Source organism: Homo sapiens, chromosome 11, assembly GCF_000001405.40.
Source record: "Homo sapiens chromosome 11, GRCh38.p14 Primary Assembly".
Lineage (NCBI taxonomy): Eukaryota > Metazoa > Chordata > Mammalia > Primates > Hominidae > Homo > Homo sapiens.
The window spans coordinates 68517109-68537326 of NC_000011.10; the positions used below are offsets into that span (position 1 = coordinate 68517109).

The window sequence follows — 20218 nt, forward strand, 5'->3', positions numbered from 1 at the left end:
CTTTTTTTTTTTTTAGAACCCCTGTTGGTTGGATGTTGGAAAACGTTGCTAAAATGTTCCATTTTAGGCTTTCAATTTTCTTTCCTGTTTTCTGATGGTCTTTTCCTCTAACTTGCATTTTTCTGTTTGTTTTGCTGCTTTTTATGGTAGAGGCTTTCTGGAGGTGTCTGGTAATCCTTGGTTTTCATTCATATTTAAAAGTCAGGGATACACAACAGAGTTGGAGCATATGAAATTGACATTCCTTCCCAGCTTTGTTTGCTATAAAAGGACAGAGGAAGTGACAGCCTCAGTATCTATGAACGTACTTTGCTCTAAGACCTTCATTTTAAATTACATCCCCCACTAAAAGGAACCAAGACTCCTTGGAGAAATGGCAGATTTCAAAGCCGAACAGAGAATGCATAAGACAAATCCAGAACATGTTACATGAGGAAATAAGGAAGTGCTTGAGAACTATGAAAAGCACACAAGAGCATGCAGGAAGGGGCTCCCACTGGCCAAATGTGGGACAATTTGAACATCAGAATGAATAATGATGTTAATTGGCCAGGCACAGTGGCTCACACCTATAATCCCAGAACTTTGGGAGGCCAAGGCGGACGGATCACTTGAGGTCAGGAGTTTGAGACCAGCCTGGCCAACATGGTGAAATCCCGTCTCTACAAAAAATATAAAAATTAAGCAGGCATGTTGGCGGTTGCTTCTAATCCCAGCTACTCAGGAGGCTGAGGCAGGAGGATCACTTGAGCCCAGGAGGTGGAGGTTGCAGTGAGCTGAGATTGCACCACTGCACTCCAGCCTGGGCGAGAGAGCAAGACCCTGTCTTCAAAAAAAAAAAAAAAGTTAATAAAATACGAATCTATGAGTCCATACTGATGACATAAGGAAAGAATAAGTGGGGAGAAGGGAGCATCCCTCACTGAAGTTTGAATGTCAGGAGGAACAGTAGAGCCTCAAAAACCTCATCATTTTCATAACTGAATATCAATTGATTCAGACAAGAATTGCCAGTTGGCACTAAAACTACTGGATGAACGTTGTAAGAACATAGTCTCTTAAGTATTGTTCTACATATTATGAATTAATTACAAAGGAAAATCCTCAGTTTATAGTGAAGAAATCTGGCAAATATAATTTTAACCAAGTGATTGAAATTATCACCAATAATGGGGCAAATTGACATCATCTTGTCTCTTTCTGTGATGCTCCAGGAGAAACAAAGCTTCATTTATGTAGTACTACTGCCAGAAGCACATAACCCATATTCTTCAAAGATGTCAGTGAAATGAATGGAAAAAAACGTTGAACTGTTTCAGATGAGAGGAAATTAAGGAAATAGGACTTTAGATGTGATACATGATCCTAAATTGGAGGGAAGAGGGATTTGCCATACAGGACCTTTCTGTTTTGTCTAAGGACTCCAGCAGCACAGCCACATGGTCTGTTCTCATTTTAAGCAAAAATTTGGATGATTATACTTTTTGCAGTGTATAGTCAAAAACCACCTAACTGGTAAAATATTTTATTTTTAAAATTAAATATACTCGTTTTAATTTGCACCGAGGCCTGTTACTGTTATTTTTGTTGATTGATTTTAACAAATGTTTAACATTATTTATTATCTTACTTGAGGGAAAATGTTGCTATCACAATGTAGTATGAGTTTTATGGGGGAAAGGCATTAGATGAACAGCATTGTTTTGGAAATGCCTTGTAGATTGCATTCTTAGAGGATTTCTTTTTTTTTGGCCCTGTCAGGCTTCACTACTTAGAGGAATTCTAATTAGTTCAATGTCCACAGTTTAAGTCATTTTCCACAGTATTAAGCTATATATGAAGTGCATACCTTGAAAGATAATTTCTATTCTTTTCATGTGCAGTGTTTGGTTAATTGACACTAGAGACTGAATTTGAGTACAGCTAGAACTTCAGTGATCTTAATGTTCTACTCACGCTTCCTGATAAAACGTATTAAGTGGACTGCCAGGGGGCATTTAAAGGAAGGAAATTGTAAAATTTTAGTATTTTTTAGTAAAAGTGTGGTGCCTTTATAGTGGACCCTATGTTGGATAAGAATAGAATTGATGTTTTCAGAAGACAAAGGTAAGAATATGTATTTTTCTTCTTCACTCATTGATAGTGCTATTATGACATCTGTATTTACTTCTGAGATACTGTTTAGGGTAGGATAAAAGCTAAGGTAGAGAGATGACAGTGCTTTTTTTCTTATGTTCATATAGAAAAATTTTAGTGATTAACTAGAACTTTTTAATTCCCTGTGGTATAGTTCTGTGTGGCCCAAGACCCTGACCCAGTATGCTTTAATGGCAGCTATCATCACACCAAAAGAGAACATATGTGATTATCTGCTTTTTTTTTTCTTTTACAGGAGAGCTTGTTTCATATCCATATCCCACTGTATTCCTGCTAATCTGCTAATGCAGTAAATTGGAGGAAAACTGTTACCAGGATAACCTGTAATGGGCAAGGAGCCACAAAGAAGAAAACATTTCTTTTAATTTTTAAACTTGGTTTGAAAGGTAAGACCATTACGATTAGCAGGAGTTTCCTTCCATTAATGACATCAAGGAAAGCTGTGGTTCTATTGTGAGACCCTGGAGTCTTAGCAAACCAGGTGGAGACCAGTCTCTCTGAGCTAGGTACAATATGATTCTGTGGTACTGTGGTATTTTTAGGAAGTTAAATGACAGCCTCTTCAGTCTGCTTTGGTATATCTTAAATCTGCAGAACTCAAGGGATTCTAAGCTTATAGGGGGTTATTGAGAGGGGCGCCAATGACCAGCCAGGCCTAGTAAGCTGAAGTAGTAGCATGCAGAGAAAGACTCGCCGCCCAGGCCACTGCTTCCAGGGCACCGGGACTCTGTCTGTGTGTTTGTTTTTGTTTTATACCAGCGAAAGGACGTTTGACTTCTGGTCAGCCACTTTTGTCTTTCTGAGTCCTAATCTCCATCACTTTAGAAGTTTTTATTAAAGATTAGAGATTGAATTTGCATATTTGACTTTTGGCTCAGTTGGCATTTACTAGGAAGTGGTAGAAGTGGCGCAGTAGGTCCTTTTGGGGGACATGCAAACATAGTTAATCAAATTTCACTTGTCCCCATTGTATCTCTAGAAGGTAGACAAAAATCATTTAATCATCTACCTTCCTGAACTGGTGCTAGCTCTAAGACTTGAAATTTTAGTCACTTTTTACTTGGCTTTCTTTTTATCCTGATGAGCAGTGATTTACCAGGGCCTATTGGTTCTACTGTTGACTCTTGCAACTGTCTTTTTCTTTTTGTTACCACGGCTGCAAAGCTAGGTCAGACTTTGTTGCCTGGAGAGATACTATGGTGGTTTTGCTGTGAGGGGTCTCTGCTTCTAACTGGCAGGTGGATGTTTCCTAGGCATCTGAAATACTACTTTGCATATGATGTCTCCTCAGCCCCAGCTCCTGAAGAACAGTCCTACTCAACCCTTGCAGGTTCCCCTTGAGCTTAAACAGTGATGTCCAATTCTTGCCCCCGATATTCAGATTCTCGTACACGACTTAGGATTTCCTCAGCTTTACCTCAATATTCTTCCGGATGAATCCCATGTGGAGAATTCTCTGCAAGTATTCATTCCCCTTGTGGCCCCTTGTCTCATAGAGTTTTTTTGTTTGTTTGTTTGTTTTCTGAGATAGGGTCTTGCTCTGTTGCCCAGGCCAGAGTGTAGTGGTGCGATCTCGGCTGACTGCAATCTCCACCTCCCGGGTTCAAGCGATTATCCGGTCTTGGCCTCCTGAGTAGCTGGGATTACAGGCGTGCACCACCACGCCCGGCTAATTTTTGTATTTTTTGTAGAGACGGTGTCTCACTATGTCGGCCAGGCTGGTCTTGAACTCCTGGCCTCAAGTGATCCACCTGCCTAGGCCTCCCAAAGTGCTGGTATTACAGGCGTGAGCCACCGCGTCCGGCCTCACAGAGTTTTATTATTGTTCTTTGTATTTGAATTCACGTCTTCTGGGGCTCAGCTTTCTTCCTGCCTTTTTTGTCAAACCACCTTGGATTGTTCCAGTTCCCTTGTGATCACTCCTTTGTGAACTCTCAGAGCATCTCATTAAGTTATTTTAGGATTATTTTTTTCTCTTAACTACATTTTAAGTATTTTGTGAGCAAACAGCTGTAACTTCTTTGTATCTTTAGTACTTTTCACAAAATAAGGTATCATTAATTGTTTGGTGGTAGGAGCTAAAATGTCAGAGGCATTTCTCAGGATAATATTTGAGACTTTCCTTCTCTCTCCTTGTTTATTTTGTTTTTCTTTGCTGATAGAGATTCTTAGCTTTGGCAGCTTGTGGAACAATTTCTTACCTTTAGTTATTCCTCCTCCTCCTCCTTTTACACATCTCTGCTCGTCAGCATGCTGTCCTACACTAGAGTGAACCCTTCAAAGTCTCCAGGAGTCCTAGAATCAATGCCAGGTGGTTAGGAGGGTTCCTGGAGAGGAACAGCACTGTAGGTATAGGGCACTTTAGACCAGGGGCTGGCAAACAAAGCATTTATTGCAAAGGCCAGTTAATAAATATTTTAGGTTTTGCGGGCCAAGAGGCAAAAAAGAGGATTTTATGAAGGTATTTATATACCAAGAGACACAACAATTTTTTACAGGCTTTGTTATTGGTGAGATTCATAATGTAATAATTTAGTTCAATTTTCTGTAATACAGCTCTCTCTTACTAGTGAGAAGACTGGAATTCTTTATTCTAGGGGGATAATATTTCACCTAATTGGTCTTTAAAGTCAGAGTTGCTCCCATCAAAATCTATTGCAAAGGTACATGTAATCTATTAATATTGATCTGCAGCAAGGTTTTACATTTTTCATCTTTGGAAATGTCTTTTTACACAGGTAGGTACTCCCACATTCTCTATCAGTCCCCAAGCATATTACTTCAGTTGAGTATATTCATTATTTGGAAGGCATATGTAGAATTCTCTTGGATTCTTCTCTTGATACTTGCTTTTTAGCATGTCATTACATAGTAAATTAATCATTTCTAATTATAGTTTAGGCGATAGCTCCTTACTTGCACAACTGAATGGATTTTGAAATATGGAGATTGCCTTTGCCTTTGCATCAAGATCTGCAAAATGCTATGTAACTGTAGTTTCAGCTCAGAAAACATGTCCACTGCCAATCTGTATGAGAATGGAGAGCTCATCTCCTACAGGAAGTGTATGAAGCAGCTTGACCTTCCTTATCAACCAGAGAAAGTTGTTTAAATGACATTAATGTAGTAGATGATTCACATGTCAGCCATTGAGACTTCAGCAAAGGCAGATTTCTACAGCTATCCAGTGTTCAGTAATGGTCGTTTACAACTGTTCTTCTTGTTCAGAAAAATTTCGTTCTTTGCCCTGTGCTCAGAAGATCACAATAAAACTTCACCACATCAAGCTGCTGTGGGATAGGGCAAACCGGGATGGTTAAGTCCATGAGTGCATGAAGTTTACTGTTGGTGCTACTGGTTCAGTAACAGGTGATGGATTTCAAAAGTCTCCAGATGCCTGCTGGCGAATAATCAAAGAATAACTGTAAGCTTTAAACACCTTACATTTTTATAGGTTTTCTAAGTTTGTTGAACTAAGCCCTTTTCTGTTCTATACACCACCGGAATCAGTTGTAGCATATCCTATCAGATTCTACTGTAGGTTGTCTTTTCTCAACTTCTTTGAAAATATTCTGCCTGTAGTTCTTTCATGAAGACTGTTCATGGAGGCTAAAAAGTCAGAGGTATATCACAAGGTTTATAGCAAAAAATAACAATTGTTCCATCTTTCTTATCTCTGAATTACTCACTTGGGACTGCTACCTTCATCACATAGCTGTTTTCCCTTATTTCCACATTTCTAAATAATTTGCCTATATGTAGCTGTTTGTAATCTACTTGGCTTCTAATTATGAAGAGGAGGTTTTAGTTCTTACATGGATAGCTCCTTCCCTCCTTCACCTTTTGGATAAAGTCAGTATTAAAGGTATGTATATTTTGGTTAATTATTCCCGGAATCCCTAACAAAATTTGCAAAATTCTCTTCAGTGTGGTCAGATACATCTGGCAGTCAGCTGTGTCTCTTTCTTGGACTCACTTTTTCCAAACCCTCTGCCTCATGCCTTCCTCTGTACTGGTTGCACTTGACCTTCTCCGTAACTGCTGGTGTTTCTCCTCACCTTTCTTCTGGGAGTCGTCTATCTCTTGATGTCTCGTATTTCTGGTTTTATGTATTGTCATGTTTTGGTGAAGAACATTCTGCAGTAGCTGCCTGAAAATGTGTGAATAGATCCGTCAGACCTTCCATGTCTGAAAACGTTGGTTTCAAGAATTGATCCTAAGTTATGGTCCTTTTTTTGTGTTGTTTTTGTGAGTCCCCCTCCTCCCCACCCACCACTAGAAGGTTTAGATACTTCATCTCTGCTACCATGGAACTACACTCAGTACCTTGGGGGGATCTGTCGCACCACTCATTGTGATGGCCTGTGCAGGCCCTAAGGAGAGCCACATTTGTTAAGCTCTGGGAGAATTGCTTTCTTCTATTTCCTACCCATGCCCCCCTGCCCCCCCCCCCCCCTTTTTTTTTTCTCTTGGCCAAGAGGTGGGTGATAGATTATAATATGTTATTCTAAAACTTCTTTTATTTGAATATTGGACTTCCTAAATCGTTTAAGTTTTTTGTCTTTTCATGAATTGTTGGCGTTCTTGGCTGTAGTTTCCTTTTTTCTCCTTTGTCCTTTATTTTGTTGTGTTACTAGAGTTTCCAGAGCAGTGGAGAATGCGTGGGGTTCAACCCACTAAGCATCTGGAAGGTTACATAATCTTTTCTATTTTCTTACTGGAGCTCCATGTCAGCCCAAATGTAGCCATGTATTGTACCTTTTATATCCAATGGATTTTGAGATTTATAAAACAGCATGTTAATCATTTAGTACAACCTTCCTGTCCAGAACAGGAACTCCTTCTGTTCCTATAGAAAATCATTCAGGCTTTGCCAGGGCGCCTCCAATTGAGGGGCCTCTCATGAAGCCACAGACCTCATCTTTAGCAAGTTTTGCTTCTATTGCTTGTAGATAATTTGCACTTTTTACTTACTGGTTCTTATTTCATCCTTGGGTACAGTACAAGACAGGTCTTCTCTTCTAAGCTTTTAAATATATTCAAAGGTAGTTACTTTATCCCTCCAGGTAGTGAGCCTTTCTGCTGTCCTGGCCATCTCTTTGGATGCCATGTGGTTGCCAGACTCTTTGTTTTCCTTCAGAACAGGATATGCTATTTCCTGGTGTGACGTGATGTGCTCAGGGCAGTCCACAGTGGGATTAATTTCTCCTCTGGTCCTAGACATTATTTATCTGTTACTATATTCTGGGATTTCTTTGCTTATTAGTTACATCGTAATATTAGAACTTTCTATTGGACTTATAATGAACTGAAATCTTTGGACTTTTTTGTTTCTTTTCTTCACTTCAGCAGTTTTCTTCTCCCTGGCATTCTTCCTATCTTGTTTTTCAGTTTTTGTCTGAAAAGGACTTTATATTCATTCATGTTAAATAAATTTTTCTTGTTTCGTTGTGTCAAACAGTGTGACTGCTGACTTACCCATTATTAGCTCTTCCTCTTAGCTTTGTGTTTTCTGTGCATTTTGACAAGCCTGTGGCATCCTGTGAATCCATGCCATCAGAGCCCCTGGCCACAAGAGCTGAGCTTGTCCAGAGCTCTTCAGGCTGAATGCCCAGTTGTCTTGTCTGGGAAGTGATTCTCCACCCTGTGCACAGAGGCACATGGTTCCTCTTCCTGAACTTGTCCTGAGAGCCATTGGATTGCAAGGCTGACCTGCCGTTGCTGCCTTCTACAAGCTGAGGCCACACACAGCTGGCTGGGCTGGGGTCATGCTCTTGATGACTGCTTCTTTGACTAGGAAAAGTGCACACTTTGGAGCTAGTCAGACCTGGGTTTGTGTCCCATTTCTGCTAGCATGTTTACTAGCTCTGGTCTTCAGTAGTAAGTCATTTGAACTCTCAGAATTTTAGTTTTTTTCCATCTGCAAAATGAGAACAAAACCTTGAAGGTATGAAGTATCTTGTATCTAAAAGCATGAAGCCCAGAGTCTGGCAGTATGGTAGGCACCTAATAATTGGTAGCTGCTGTTAAAAATTATGTTTCCACCTTTATATAAAGTTGCAGTGTCCAGACAGTTAATGTGATTGTGGAATAGCTAGGAGAGATTGAAGATTGTTTTTCATAAGGAGCTATAAAGACCATTCTCTGTTGAGCTTTTATTCCTGAGCAGTCTCAGTAGTCTATGAATCTACTTTAATTTTTCTTGCACGTTAGGTTGCATACTGTAAAACATTTACAAAAGAAAGAACTTCCTGAAGGTTAACAGTTTATTGCTGCTAGCCTGAAGCTGTTGAGATAGCCCTGAATACTTCAGGGTTATATACAGTCTGATCAAAGTTTGCTAGGGAAGGAAGATTGACGATAATAGCTAAAACTTTAAAAAAACGGGCTTTTGAAAGATTTTTTTGTGACTAAGTTGCCAATCTGTCTTTCATTATAGAATTTGATAGCTCTTAATCTGAAGACTGCTTCTTTTTGACCATTTGCCAAAAGCATCTCAGTGTGCTCCTGAATTTCTACTTGATTAGGAAAGGCCATTTTCTTTGGGTACCTTGTCTGTAAGATATTTGAATAATAAATGACCATTGTCACTTACCTCAAGTTGGGTGAGTTATAAATGGCACATAACTGGGTTTCACTTAATACAAACCACACTGACTTGGATTTTCCAAGCTTTGCCTTCACCACGTTAGTATAGAATTCCCTTTCTAGCCAAGCAGTTTCACCATTTTTCATTTGCTGAGGACCACCTCGTATCTCTTCAGTTTTGGAGACTTAGAAACTTTTTGTGTTGTTGCAAATAGCCATGCCAGTCATAACCATGTTTCCTACTCTCCTCCAGTTACCTGTTGCTTCCTTTCTGATGTTTGACTCATTTGTTCGCTCTTGGAATCCTGCCCAGTTTCAGAAATTCCAAGAATCTTGGATGCTTCAGATGGGAAACCTTTCTAGGGCCTATGAGAATTTACTGATTTTACTTTGACTTACATTTTTTTTTTTTTAAATTTTGAGACAGGGTCTTACTCTGTCAGCCAGGCTGGAGTGCAGTGGCGTGATCTCTGCTTCCCAGGCTCAAGTGATCCTCCCACCTCAGCCTCCTGAGTAGCTAGGACTACAGGTGTGCACCACCATGCCCGACTGATTTTTTGTACTTTCTGTGGTGGAGACAAGATCTCCCTTTGTTGCCTAGGCTGATCTTGAACTCCTGGACTAAAGTGATCCACCTACCACTGTCCCCTCCAAAGTGCTGAGATTACAGATGTGAGCCACTGGGCCTGGCTAACGTTGGCTTTTATCATACCATCTTACCTCTATTCACACACCCTCACCTCCAGCATGCACACGTGCATCTGGAACCAGCTGGGTGTTCCTTGCCTCTCCTCGGTTTCCTTCATCTCTTAAGAAGACAACTGGCAAAAACTCGACTACCATTGTGCCATCCTTATTACTTGCCTTTCCCCACACAACCCCTCAGTCTCACTTCAATGAAACTTGTTCGTAGTAGAAATAACCCATGCTTTGCATATACTTGGACTGAAGTTTTTGAAATTGTGGAAAATAGGCACAGAAATTCCTGTACATTCAAGGTTTCATAATGAGAATTTGTAGAGGAACACGTTACTGTAGTTGCTTTAATTTGAACTAGTTGACAAAAGTAAGGCTGGATTTTTTGGTTGGTGGTTGACTTTAAAAAAGTGAAGTGAATGATAAGGTTGTACATCTTGTCTTGCTGTTAGCATCTTAGCAGTGTATTTGGAGTTAGTACAGGGTGTATATATAGACATTTGCCTTCTGAGGGTTGTGTATTTCCCAGACAGCTTAGAATTCTAAAGGCAAGTATAAATTTGTATCATTTGACACCAAAGTACAGCTCCAGAATGAAGAAAAAGTGGAAATTAGACTTGGAGGAGGCAGAATGCTGGTGACATTGGAGAAGTAATGGTCATTTAGTGTGAAATCTTGTAGCGGATACCTTGGCTTTGAACGTAGAGGCCATTGCAAGGCATCATTTTCTGCTCCGGTGGGCCCCTCTTCATTAGGCTCACCCCTCTCCAATCTGTCTTTCACATTGTTGACAGTTAACGCATTCACACTCCAGATCTGCTCTTGCAGACTCCAGTGTCTGTCTTAGCACCGTGACCAGTCTCTACAGTGCCCCACCTCAGGCGTCTTACCTTCATCCCCTTCTTTCCTGTCCCATATTTAAGTCATATTCACACCTGGCCAGACCCAAAAGAGGTTTGTCCTCTTCCCTCTGTCCTTCACCTTTGTAGGAAATACGAACTCTGTTGAGAGTGTACTAACCACAGCATCAGTGTCATCTCCACGTCACTTCCAATGTCTGCTTTTGTTCAGAATTGTTCTATGTTATTAAAATACTTTGTTGAATCTCTGCTGTAGATATTTTAATGCATACTTTCCTCAGTTAAAACTCACTGGATCTGTCTGCTTCTGCAGCAAGCCTGCACAGTGCCGTGCATTCACACACAGCCCTTTGTGGTCTGGCCTTGTGTTGCCAACCTAATCCTACCACCTACCCAAAGGCTCCTCCTTCCTGTTGTCCTCAGGGCCTTCTCACTGCTGTGACTCCTGAAGCTACTGGGTCTTCCTGTCCACTGCTTTCAGGGAGGCGTCGCCTGGCCTGGAATATGTTATGCAGCTCCATTCATCACCTCCTAAATGCTCCCTGTATTTTGAGGCTCAACTTAGGCTTGATATATAATGAGGCATTTTTGGCCAGGTTGTCCTCCCTTGAGCTACCTTTCTGTGGAACAAGGTTGAAATGTATGCCTGCCTGTCTCTGTTTTCTCTGTTCTCAATTTTATTGTATTTTTCAAGGCTTTAGGGACCATCTGTCATATTACTCCTGTATTCCTTAGCATAATTCATATTAATACTTTAATACCTGTTGATTAATATAGCATATTAAATGGATTTGATTCCTTTATTCTCAAAGAAATGCTTGAAATATCAAAGCAGTTTCAAGTTGAAACTGGAAAAGATTCTGGAATACCTGGGTGGTAGAAAGCTGATTGCTTTTGACACCTTCTTTGGAAGAAGCAGTTGCAGAGATACGATAAAACTGGGTTTGAGTTTGTATTACCCTCTTCTCTAAAGAAATATATTGACTCTAGTAGGCACCTGATATTTGATTTAATTTGTGTGTGTGGGGGGGGGGGCTGCACCTTTATGAAATTGACACTTCACTAAGAATGGAGAAACAGCTACTGCGTGAACTTTCTGTGTTTTGTGGTCTTTTTCCTTAGAAGTTATTGAGAGCTGCTTTTAAAGACCAGCTGCTTTTACTCCTTTGTGTTCCATGTTTCTGCCCCTTCTTGTGAAAATTTCCCTGGGCATTGAGCTTTGCTGTCAGGGGGAAGAGTTTCTCATTAACTTACAACACTAAGAGATAACTTCCGTGGGAGTGACTCTGCTTTTTCCTGTTAATAGACACTTTCCTCCCTGGCCCCTTCTTAGTGGCATGCAGCTTTCAGCATGCCTGGAAGCAGTCACCAGACCCTCCTGGAGCCCATAGTTTCACATTTGGGTCTTGTCAGGCACTGTTCAACTAAGCTTCCTGCATGGGTGAATCCAAGCCTAGAAGGAAGTCCTCAGCCTCCAGGTGTCTGGACACTGCATCAGTAGATGAGCCAGTATGAACAGCCTTGCCTCAGCTTGGTGGTTGAGTACATCCTGTTCCCCAGCCTGCTTATAAACTCGGCCAGAGGTTCGGTGTAAACACGTCTGCCGCTTATGGAATAATCAAGGGATGCTGTGAGGTCTGTTTTCTAGAGGTTGAGTGAGAATTCTAGTTTTTTGTCCACATTAATCAAGTATCTTTGTTTCCCAACATTTTCGAGTGGCCTAGGCATTGTTCCTTCTTCTGAAAATATATTTTGAATTAGCTTATAAAATGAAATCAATTCTCAGAGATATGTACCTGTTTTTGGGTGTGTGTGTGTGTGTTTTTCCAGATGGAGTCTCACTCTGTCTCCCAGGCTGGAGTGCAGTGGCACAATCTCGGCTCACTGCAACCTCTGCCAACCGGGTTCAAGTGATTCTCCTGCCTCAACCTCCCAAGTAGCTGGGATTACAGGCGACTGCCATTGTGCCCGGCTAATTTTTGTATTTTTAGTAGAGATGGAGTTTCACCATCTTGGCCAGGCTGGTCTTGAACTCCTGACCTCATGATCCACCCACCTCAGCTGCCCAAAGTGCTGGGATTACAGGTGTGAGCCACCGCGCCCAGCCGGCATGCATCTGTTTTTAAATTTGGCTCCTTAAGTCTAAACCAGTGATGACCCACCTGTGCCTCTTGATGCAAGATCTAGCTCTTTGCATTATTTCAAGATGAAGGATTTGAAAACTTTCTTGTTATTGCTATAAATGTTTCTAGGTATTAGAGGCTACAAAACAGTTCTCGTTTTCTTGTGATCTACTTTTTTGAGTTGAAGAATATCTGCCCAAGTTGTTACATTTCAAGAATATACATGATATCTCCTGTATATTTCTATTTTAAAAAAGAGGAAAAACATGGCCTATAACCTCTTCTTACCTACCCCACATTGGCCCTTGTGTGGAAAACATCGTTAGTGATTGTAGCTGTGGAAGGAGATGGGGGCCATTTCAGTGCGGAGAGAGACTGAATCATAATGTCATTAGAGTGGGGCTGTCTAGTACAGCAACCACTGGCCATGTGTAACTCTTGAACATCTGAAATGTAGCTGGTTGAAATTGAGAGGTACTGTGAGCATAAAATACACATCAGATTTGGAAGACTTAGTACCAAAAGAAATAATATAGCCCTGTTGGATATATTCTGTTAGATACTTTTAAATTTAATGTCATTAGTTGTTTTTTACTTTTTTGATGTGGCTACTAGAACATTTAATGTGTGGCTCAAAAGTTTATTTCTTATTTCTGTTAGACGGGTCTGACTTGGATGACAGATAGAGCTTGTGTAGTTCTAGTAGTTTTAATAGTGGTGAGAGAAGGGAGTGCTGAAGGGAGACTTGGGGTGTATAGGAATTAGAACTTGGGCAGCGTGTGCTTGCATGTCTTTGTATAAGATTGTGTGAAATTTGTGTGTCAAATATTTTCTTTGTAGTGTTCTGTTAAATATATAGTATTAAAAGTCAATAACACATTTTGTTGTCTTAAGTCTTTCTTGTGTGTTTTCTTGGGTGGAAGCAGCTGCTTCTCCTATTTTGTTCTGTTTGTGCTCCGTATGTTTAGGTAGCGGCAACTTCTACTAGAAATATCTTATGTGTGTTTATTGCCAGTCTGGCATATGATATCAGATATTCACTTCGGTGTTGCTATCTTGAGGATTCCAATGGGGCCAGTTATTAAAAGGTATAGACAGAGCTGGTTTGATGGGTGTGTGACCTGTGCAGTCTCGCATGCTCAGAAACACTTGGATTAATGCTCTCCTGTTTGGGTTCTGTCTTGAAAGCCATCATAATCTTTGAATCTTCTTTGAAATCTCTGAACATTTTGCTCTGGGCCCAGCTAGTCCTGGGTACAGTTATTTCGCAGTTGATAGTATACAGTTTATTGTACTTAGATATAAAGTTGCCAAATTTAAGCATAGTGAGTTCATATGAATAGGAGATTTTGAATTTGAAATTCATTGACGATCTTGTCATCCCCACAGTTGACTGCTTGTTTGTGGGTAGGATCACCAGTAGTTTCTTTCTTCAGGGTTCTAATAGTTTATCTTTTGTCATGTTTATGGTATGGTATGTTCTGCCTCTGTCTTGTTGAATGAAAACCCACTGATATCAACTTTTTCAGAGGTAGTTTCTGAAATAACACAGTACTGTTTGCACTAGTATGCTTTTCCTATGTTTTTCATGGCTGTATAGTTATTTTGAATATATGTATTTAAATTTGTGAAGATGTAGATTAAAATGATCCTCCATTTATGAATTACAAGCTGTCAGCAGTGGTTTAAAATCAGGCATCAGCAGCATCTGGGAACTAGAGATGCAGAATCTCAGGCCTGAGCCCTGTTTATTGAGTCAGAATCTGAGACTGTGTTTTATTTATTTATTTATTTATTTATTTATTTATTTATTTATTTAAATTTTAGGACAGGGTCTCACTCTTGTTCAGGCCGGTTTGCAGTGGTATGATCATAGCTCACTACAGCCTCAACCTCCCAGGCTCAGGTGATTCTCCCACCTCAGCCTCCCGAGTAGCTGGGACTACAGGTGTGTGCCACCTGTTGCCCAGGCTGGTCTCAAACTCCTGGGCTCAAGCGATCTGCCCATTTTGGCCTTCCAAAATGCTGGGATTACAGACGTGAGCCACCATGCCCAGCCAAGACTGCATTTTGACAAGGCCCTAGACTATTCATTCCTGTGCCTTTGAAAGTTTGGGAAGCTTTAAAGCTCACTGATTTCATTGTTGGATATATTCATTGCCTTAGCAGCTTCTGTTTGCCTGAGTGTGTGTATGTTGGTGCCTGTATGTTCTAGCTGCTATTGCGGATCTTTCTTATTGACTCTCTACAACCTGTTTTGCTAAGGATCCTGAGGCTTAGAGATGAAGTAGCTTTCCTGAGGCCTCAGGGCTAGCCAATAGTGGAGCTGGTGTTAGAATCCAGGTCTGTAAGATTCTTAGTAGTCCTAGAAGAGGTTGAGAGGATTTGTATATTTGATGAAAACAAAGGGTTGTAGGTGGTTCACATAAATTATAGTTGGACCCCTATTGAATATGCTAGCATTCGACTAGCAGTGCCTTGGCAAATTTTACAGATAGACTGATGTTCTTGTTCTACCTCTTATAAATAATTTAGCCACTTTACCAGTTCCTAGTTCCTGTGTCAGAGACAGGGTGGCACCTTTTTCCAGAGAGTGTCACTGCTTGAATGCCTTGAATTCAAGGTACTTGGCCTCAGATTTTGAAAGGCTTTGATATCATGAAGGTTTTAAAATAATTTTAGAGGGTCATTAAGTAAAGCAGTTGATCTTCGATGAATAGATTTACTCAACAAATGGATCCTTTGATCCTATTTTGTGTATATAAGATGGCAGTTTTCACTTGTCTTACGTTACAGGAAGGTGGGGAACAGCAGACATTGTCATCTGTGACATCAAGTAACAAATGACTCCCCAGTGACCTGCTTTCTTAATCTTAGCCCTTTTGGAGGAAACTCCATTTTCAAACTACTTAATCCAACTTACAAAAAACTCTAGGATTTTGAAGAAAGATTAGAGGGTAGTTTGGCTTTACTAAACCCTTTGCTCCACTGACTGGTTTGTTGGAAGAAATTATCCCTAATTTTAAGAACAGTCATATGCTGCATATATTACAGTGCTCCCATAAGATTATAATGGGGCTGAAAAATTCCCGTCACCTAATGACTGATACGAATGAAAATTCCTGTTACCTAATGACTGATATGAATGATTAGTTTGGGGGGATTCTTTAAGGTGATTTTGCTACTTCAGCTAAACAACATCTTAACATGGTAGTGTCTGTTCAGATACACAAGTACTTAGCATTGTCACTACTGCGTCTGTATTTCAGTACACAGTAACATGCTGTGCAGGTTTGTAGCCTAGCAGCAATAGGCTATACCAGATAGCCTAGGTGTGTAGTAGGCTAGACTGTATAGGTTTGTGTAAGTCACTCTATGATGTTTGCACAACGACGAAGTCACCTGACGAAGGATTTCTCAGTCTGTATCCCTGTCATTATTTGTTGTGTGACTGTGTAGTCTGGGTTGTGAATTTTAAAGGATAGTTATGTTTACTAAAAACAAGTTGTTGAAGTTCTGACTTTTTGGTTTTTCTGTGTAGTTTAGAGTAGTTATATTTTTTAAAGGACTCCATTTTACCTCAGGGCTCTGGCCAGTTGAACTTTGTAACTGTTATTTCATACCTGGTTTCTTTCTACTTGAAAGAGTACACATAGAAGCGAAGGCCCAGCAGGGGTGACTAATTTACCAGTGCCATTTGTTTCCAGTCAGCTTGCTGTTTGGCTAAAAGGTAAAATACATAATTTTTGTGTAAGGAATTAGCTGTGGATATATTTTGGTTTTGAGTTTGTAGTATGTCCAATACAAAGAAAACTCACCATTAAAATGTATTTCAAGGTGTTCTTATTTGAAAAATGCTATTCTAACTCCGAATAGTGGGGAGCAAAAGGAATTAGCTGGCTGAGTGTGGTGGCTCAAACCTGTAATCCCAGCACTTTGAGAGGCAGAGGTGGTCGATTGCTTGAGTTTGAGACCATCCTGAGCAACATAGTGAGAACCTGTCTCTACAGAAGTACAAAAAAATTAGCCAGGTGTGGTGGCACGGGTCTGTAGTCTCAGCTACTCTGGAGGCTGAGGTGGGAGGATCACCTGAGTCCTGGAGGCAGAGGTTGTAGTGAGCCAGGGTCATGCCACTGCACACCAGCCTGGGTGACAGAGCAAGACCTTGTCTCAAAAAAAAAAAAAAAAAAAAAAAAAGGAATTAATCACTTTACAACAGATAATTGCTAAAGAATTCCTTTTCTTGTGTTTAAATCTCAAGTTTAAAATCAGCGTAGTAAACCCACAAAGTGATGGCTGGGGAATTGGAGGACCTCATTCATCAGTTAGGCCACGCTGCTGGAGCACACGGGCTCTGCTACAGGAATGTTGCTTCTGGCTCACTGGAACAGCATGGGCAGGAACTTACAGCAGTAGGTGGCTTTCTTCCATATAGTGATTTGGGGACCACGGCACGTTCCATGTTTTGGTTCTGCCATCCCTCAGGTTCTTTTGGTCCTCAGCATTTAGCTAGATACAGGTGAAGGACCATGGGAGGTTTGATGGTTCCTGGCACAATGGAGGAAACTCTGTCATGTGGCCACACCTACACGGTGAGTGCCCCAGGAAGGGGAGAGTAGAGACGGGTGACTGTCAGCACCTCACTGGGCAGGGCGCAAGGGCTGTGGGGTAGACGTTGGGTGGATTCAGGAGACTGCAGAAAGCAAAGTGGGTGTTAATGGGACTTTTATTTCCTGTGGAACAAAGGACACTACACTTTTCTGCAAAAGACCAAGTAGTAAATATTTTAGGCTTTGTGGGCCGCAGATGGCCTCTGTCATATATTCCTTTTTTTTCTTAAAACAACCCTTAAAAAATGTCAAAATCATTCATAACTGGCAGGCTGTGAGCTGGATTTGGTTTGCCAACACCTTCTTATTTCATCACAACTAATTACCACTCTTCTTTAGAAATCCAGTGTTTAATGAGTTTCCTTTATAATAAGGTTGAGATTTGGGAAGTCAGTTTTTACTTGAGGCAAAAAAGTTGTATCTTGATTCATAATTCAGAAGTGTCATTTTATCTAGGTTTTAGGCATAGCTTCTCACCTGATTGGTGAACGTATACCCTGTTTATTATTAGCTAAAAATAAGTGCTTGATGCCAGATTCACTTTTTTTCTGATTTATTTCTTAGTATTTTTCATACTTTGCCTTTAATACTAAGTGTGGGGAAGAGTAGTAAAAATATATTTTAAAAAAAGGTTTTGTGATTTTTAAGAACGTAGAGGTGCATGAGCTGTATTATTCCACCAGAAGCATGGTGGGTGGCACTGGCATTGTTATTCTGTGCCCTCAGACAGCGAACCACTTCTCTTCCTCTGGGGAATGAATGGAAACCCAACTTTTTCCCTCTTCCATTGAAGTTATCTTTTGGTATACTTTTGTCTTTTTTTCTACTTGTTAGTTGTATTAGTATCAAATGGCATAATAAAGTTACTTTGTTTGCCATTTCCCACTCATCTGAAAATCACAAAAAGCATTTATTTCTAAGATTTATATCCACTGACCTTTTCCCCAAAGTTATTTTCCTGTTACTTGTATTTCATCTTTGCCCTTATTTCTTTAATATTTGTATTAGAATTAGCTTGCTCTTGTTTCCTTCACGGCAAATGTGTTACATTGCCCACTGGGTGGCTTCTGCGGATGCCCCTACCCACCCCTCGTCTGGAGCAGAGAAGTCCTGTTAGCCTAGCAGCATAGTGGCTGCTGTCAGTGCGAGGAGTTGTGCTTCTCTAGCATGGTCTGTGATGTCATCTGGACATAATTATTAGACTAATCGAATAGAGGAACAAGACAGCCCTGCCTGCGACTGTGGGCCCCCGCTTTGTGTCATCCCACAGAGCTTTGTGCTGAACATCAGTCCTCCACATCGACTCCTCTTGTAAGATGTTGTGTCCAGGTGGATCATCACAGTGGCTGCCATCCTTAAATATGTCTTGGTCCTGTTGCTGCTAATTGATGTGAGCTTGTCGCCATGTGTCCTTTAAAGCATTTAAAGTTTTTTTTAGAAACAAGGAAGACTTTTATAACACCCTTCACATTTTATAATATTCCTATTTAAAACTTGCTCCTTAAGGAGCTTTTGGAAGCTTCTTTAAAACTCTGCTTGGCCGGGCACGGTAACTCATGCCTGTAATGCCAGCACTTGGGGAGGCTGAGGCAGGTGGATCACTTGAGGTTAGGAGTTTAGACCAGCTTGGCCAACATTGTGAAACCCCGTCTCTACTAAAAAAAAAAAAAAAAAAAAAAATCAGCCGGGTGTGATGGCATGGTGTAATCCTAGCTACTTGGGAGGCTGAGGTAGGGATTACTTGAACCTGGGAGGCAGAGGTTGCAGTGAGCTGAGATCATGCCACTGCACTCCAGCCTGGGTGACAGAGCAAGACTCTGTCTCGCAAAAAACAAACAAAAAACTCTGCCTATATTTTAAATTATATGCTCATATAAAATGTTCAGTGATCTCATTGCCTATCCTGTGAAGTGGATCTACTTTTTACAGAGCCTTGAGTAACCATGGTACAGAGTTTGTTTTCCTTCTGTTATTCCTGGATTGATCAGTGTTTATACTAGCAGTGTAAATGATTTTGCTCTCTATGATCTCTATTTAAAAAACATTTTTTTTTTGAGGCAGATGTTCATAAAAGCATAAAATCAGGATGTATTCCTGTCTGATCTCCTAAAGTGGGTGGGTTTTTTTTGTTTTGTTTTTTTCTTTGTTTTTTGTTTTTTTGTGGAAACAGGGTCCTCACCCTGTTGCCCTGCTGGAGTGTAGGAGAACAATCATGGCTTACAACAGCCTCAGCCTCCTTAGTAGCTGGTACTACAGGAGTGTGCCACAATGCCTGGCTAATTTTTTGAATTTTTTTTTGTCTTATAGAGATGAGGTCTCACTATGTTGTGTAGGCCGTTCTTGAACTCCTGACCTCAAGTGATGCTCCCGCCTTGTGCCTGCCAAAGTGCCAGGATTACAGGTGTGAGCCACTGTGTGCCCGGCCCAAATACATACTTCTAAAAATGTGTGCTATACATGGATTACCATCCTTTGCAGCCTCCTTCCTTTTACCTAGGCTCTTTTAAATAGCATGTGGATATTCATGCTTTTTTGGAGATAATGATAATGGTACACCTCACTAAGTGGGTAGTGAAGCTCCAGCTTATATGTAGGTTTTCGTTTGGGGGTTACAGAGAGTCAGTATGTATTAACAAACTCTGGTTTAGGAATTCTGCAGTGAGCATTTAGACAGATAGGAAAGGTCTTTGAATGGTCTCTACTGAGGTCTTTTCCTGTGATGCTATCATCCTGTCATGTGTCTCAAAAGTGGCATTTGAGATCATCCCATCATGAATGGCAGCCTGTAGATCATGTAGTGAACCCTCTGTTTTATATTTCCATTTGTAACAAATAAGTACTTTTTTTAGCTCTATAATTTGAAGTAACAAACTCTGTTTTCCTTGTTGAGGAAGGATGGGCATGAAGCTGAGGAATGAATATGTATGTGGCGTAGTGATTAGGTTTCATTGTCATGTTTTCCTAGTAAACAGAGGAGAATCAGTTTCTCTAACTCCTCAAGAATTAGTTTTCAGTTTTTAGTAGTATATTAAGAATGGCACAGATTTTACCAGTTTATTGCTTCAGGCTTTTGACTATGAAAGTACTGGTTTGCAGTGATCATTTAGTTCTTTAGTCTTCTGAAGCCTTCTAGATATTTAGGCCTCACTGCTTATCACTTGTTGCTGAAGATATTCTGTTTTTC

The 20218-nt window shown here is 40.5% G+C and overlaps 1 protein-coding gene across 84 annotated transcripts in view; it reads left to right on the forward strand.

Moving 5' to 3' along the window:
- The window catches only part of PPP6R3 (protein phosphatase 6 regulatory subunit 3), a 154583-nt gene that overhangs the window by 56357 nt on the left and 78008 nt on the right, over positions 1 to 20218 (forward strand). For 76 of the 84 annotated variants that reach the window (NR_147971.2, NR_147966.2, NR_147967.2 and 73 more), the window contains one exon: positions 2393 to 2543. The gene's annotated coding sequence lies outside the window, so the exon portion shown is untranslated. Of the gene's footprint in view, positions 1 to 2392; positions 2544 to 5385; positions 5582 to 20218 lie in introns of all 84 variants that reach the window. The other 8 variants (XM_047427204.1, XM_047427206.1, XM_047427212.1 and 5 more) reach the window with 1 other exon arrangement.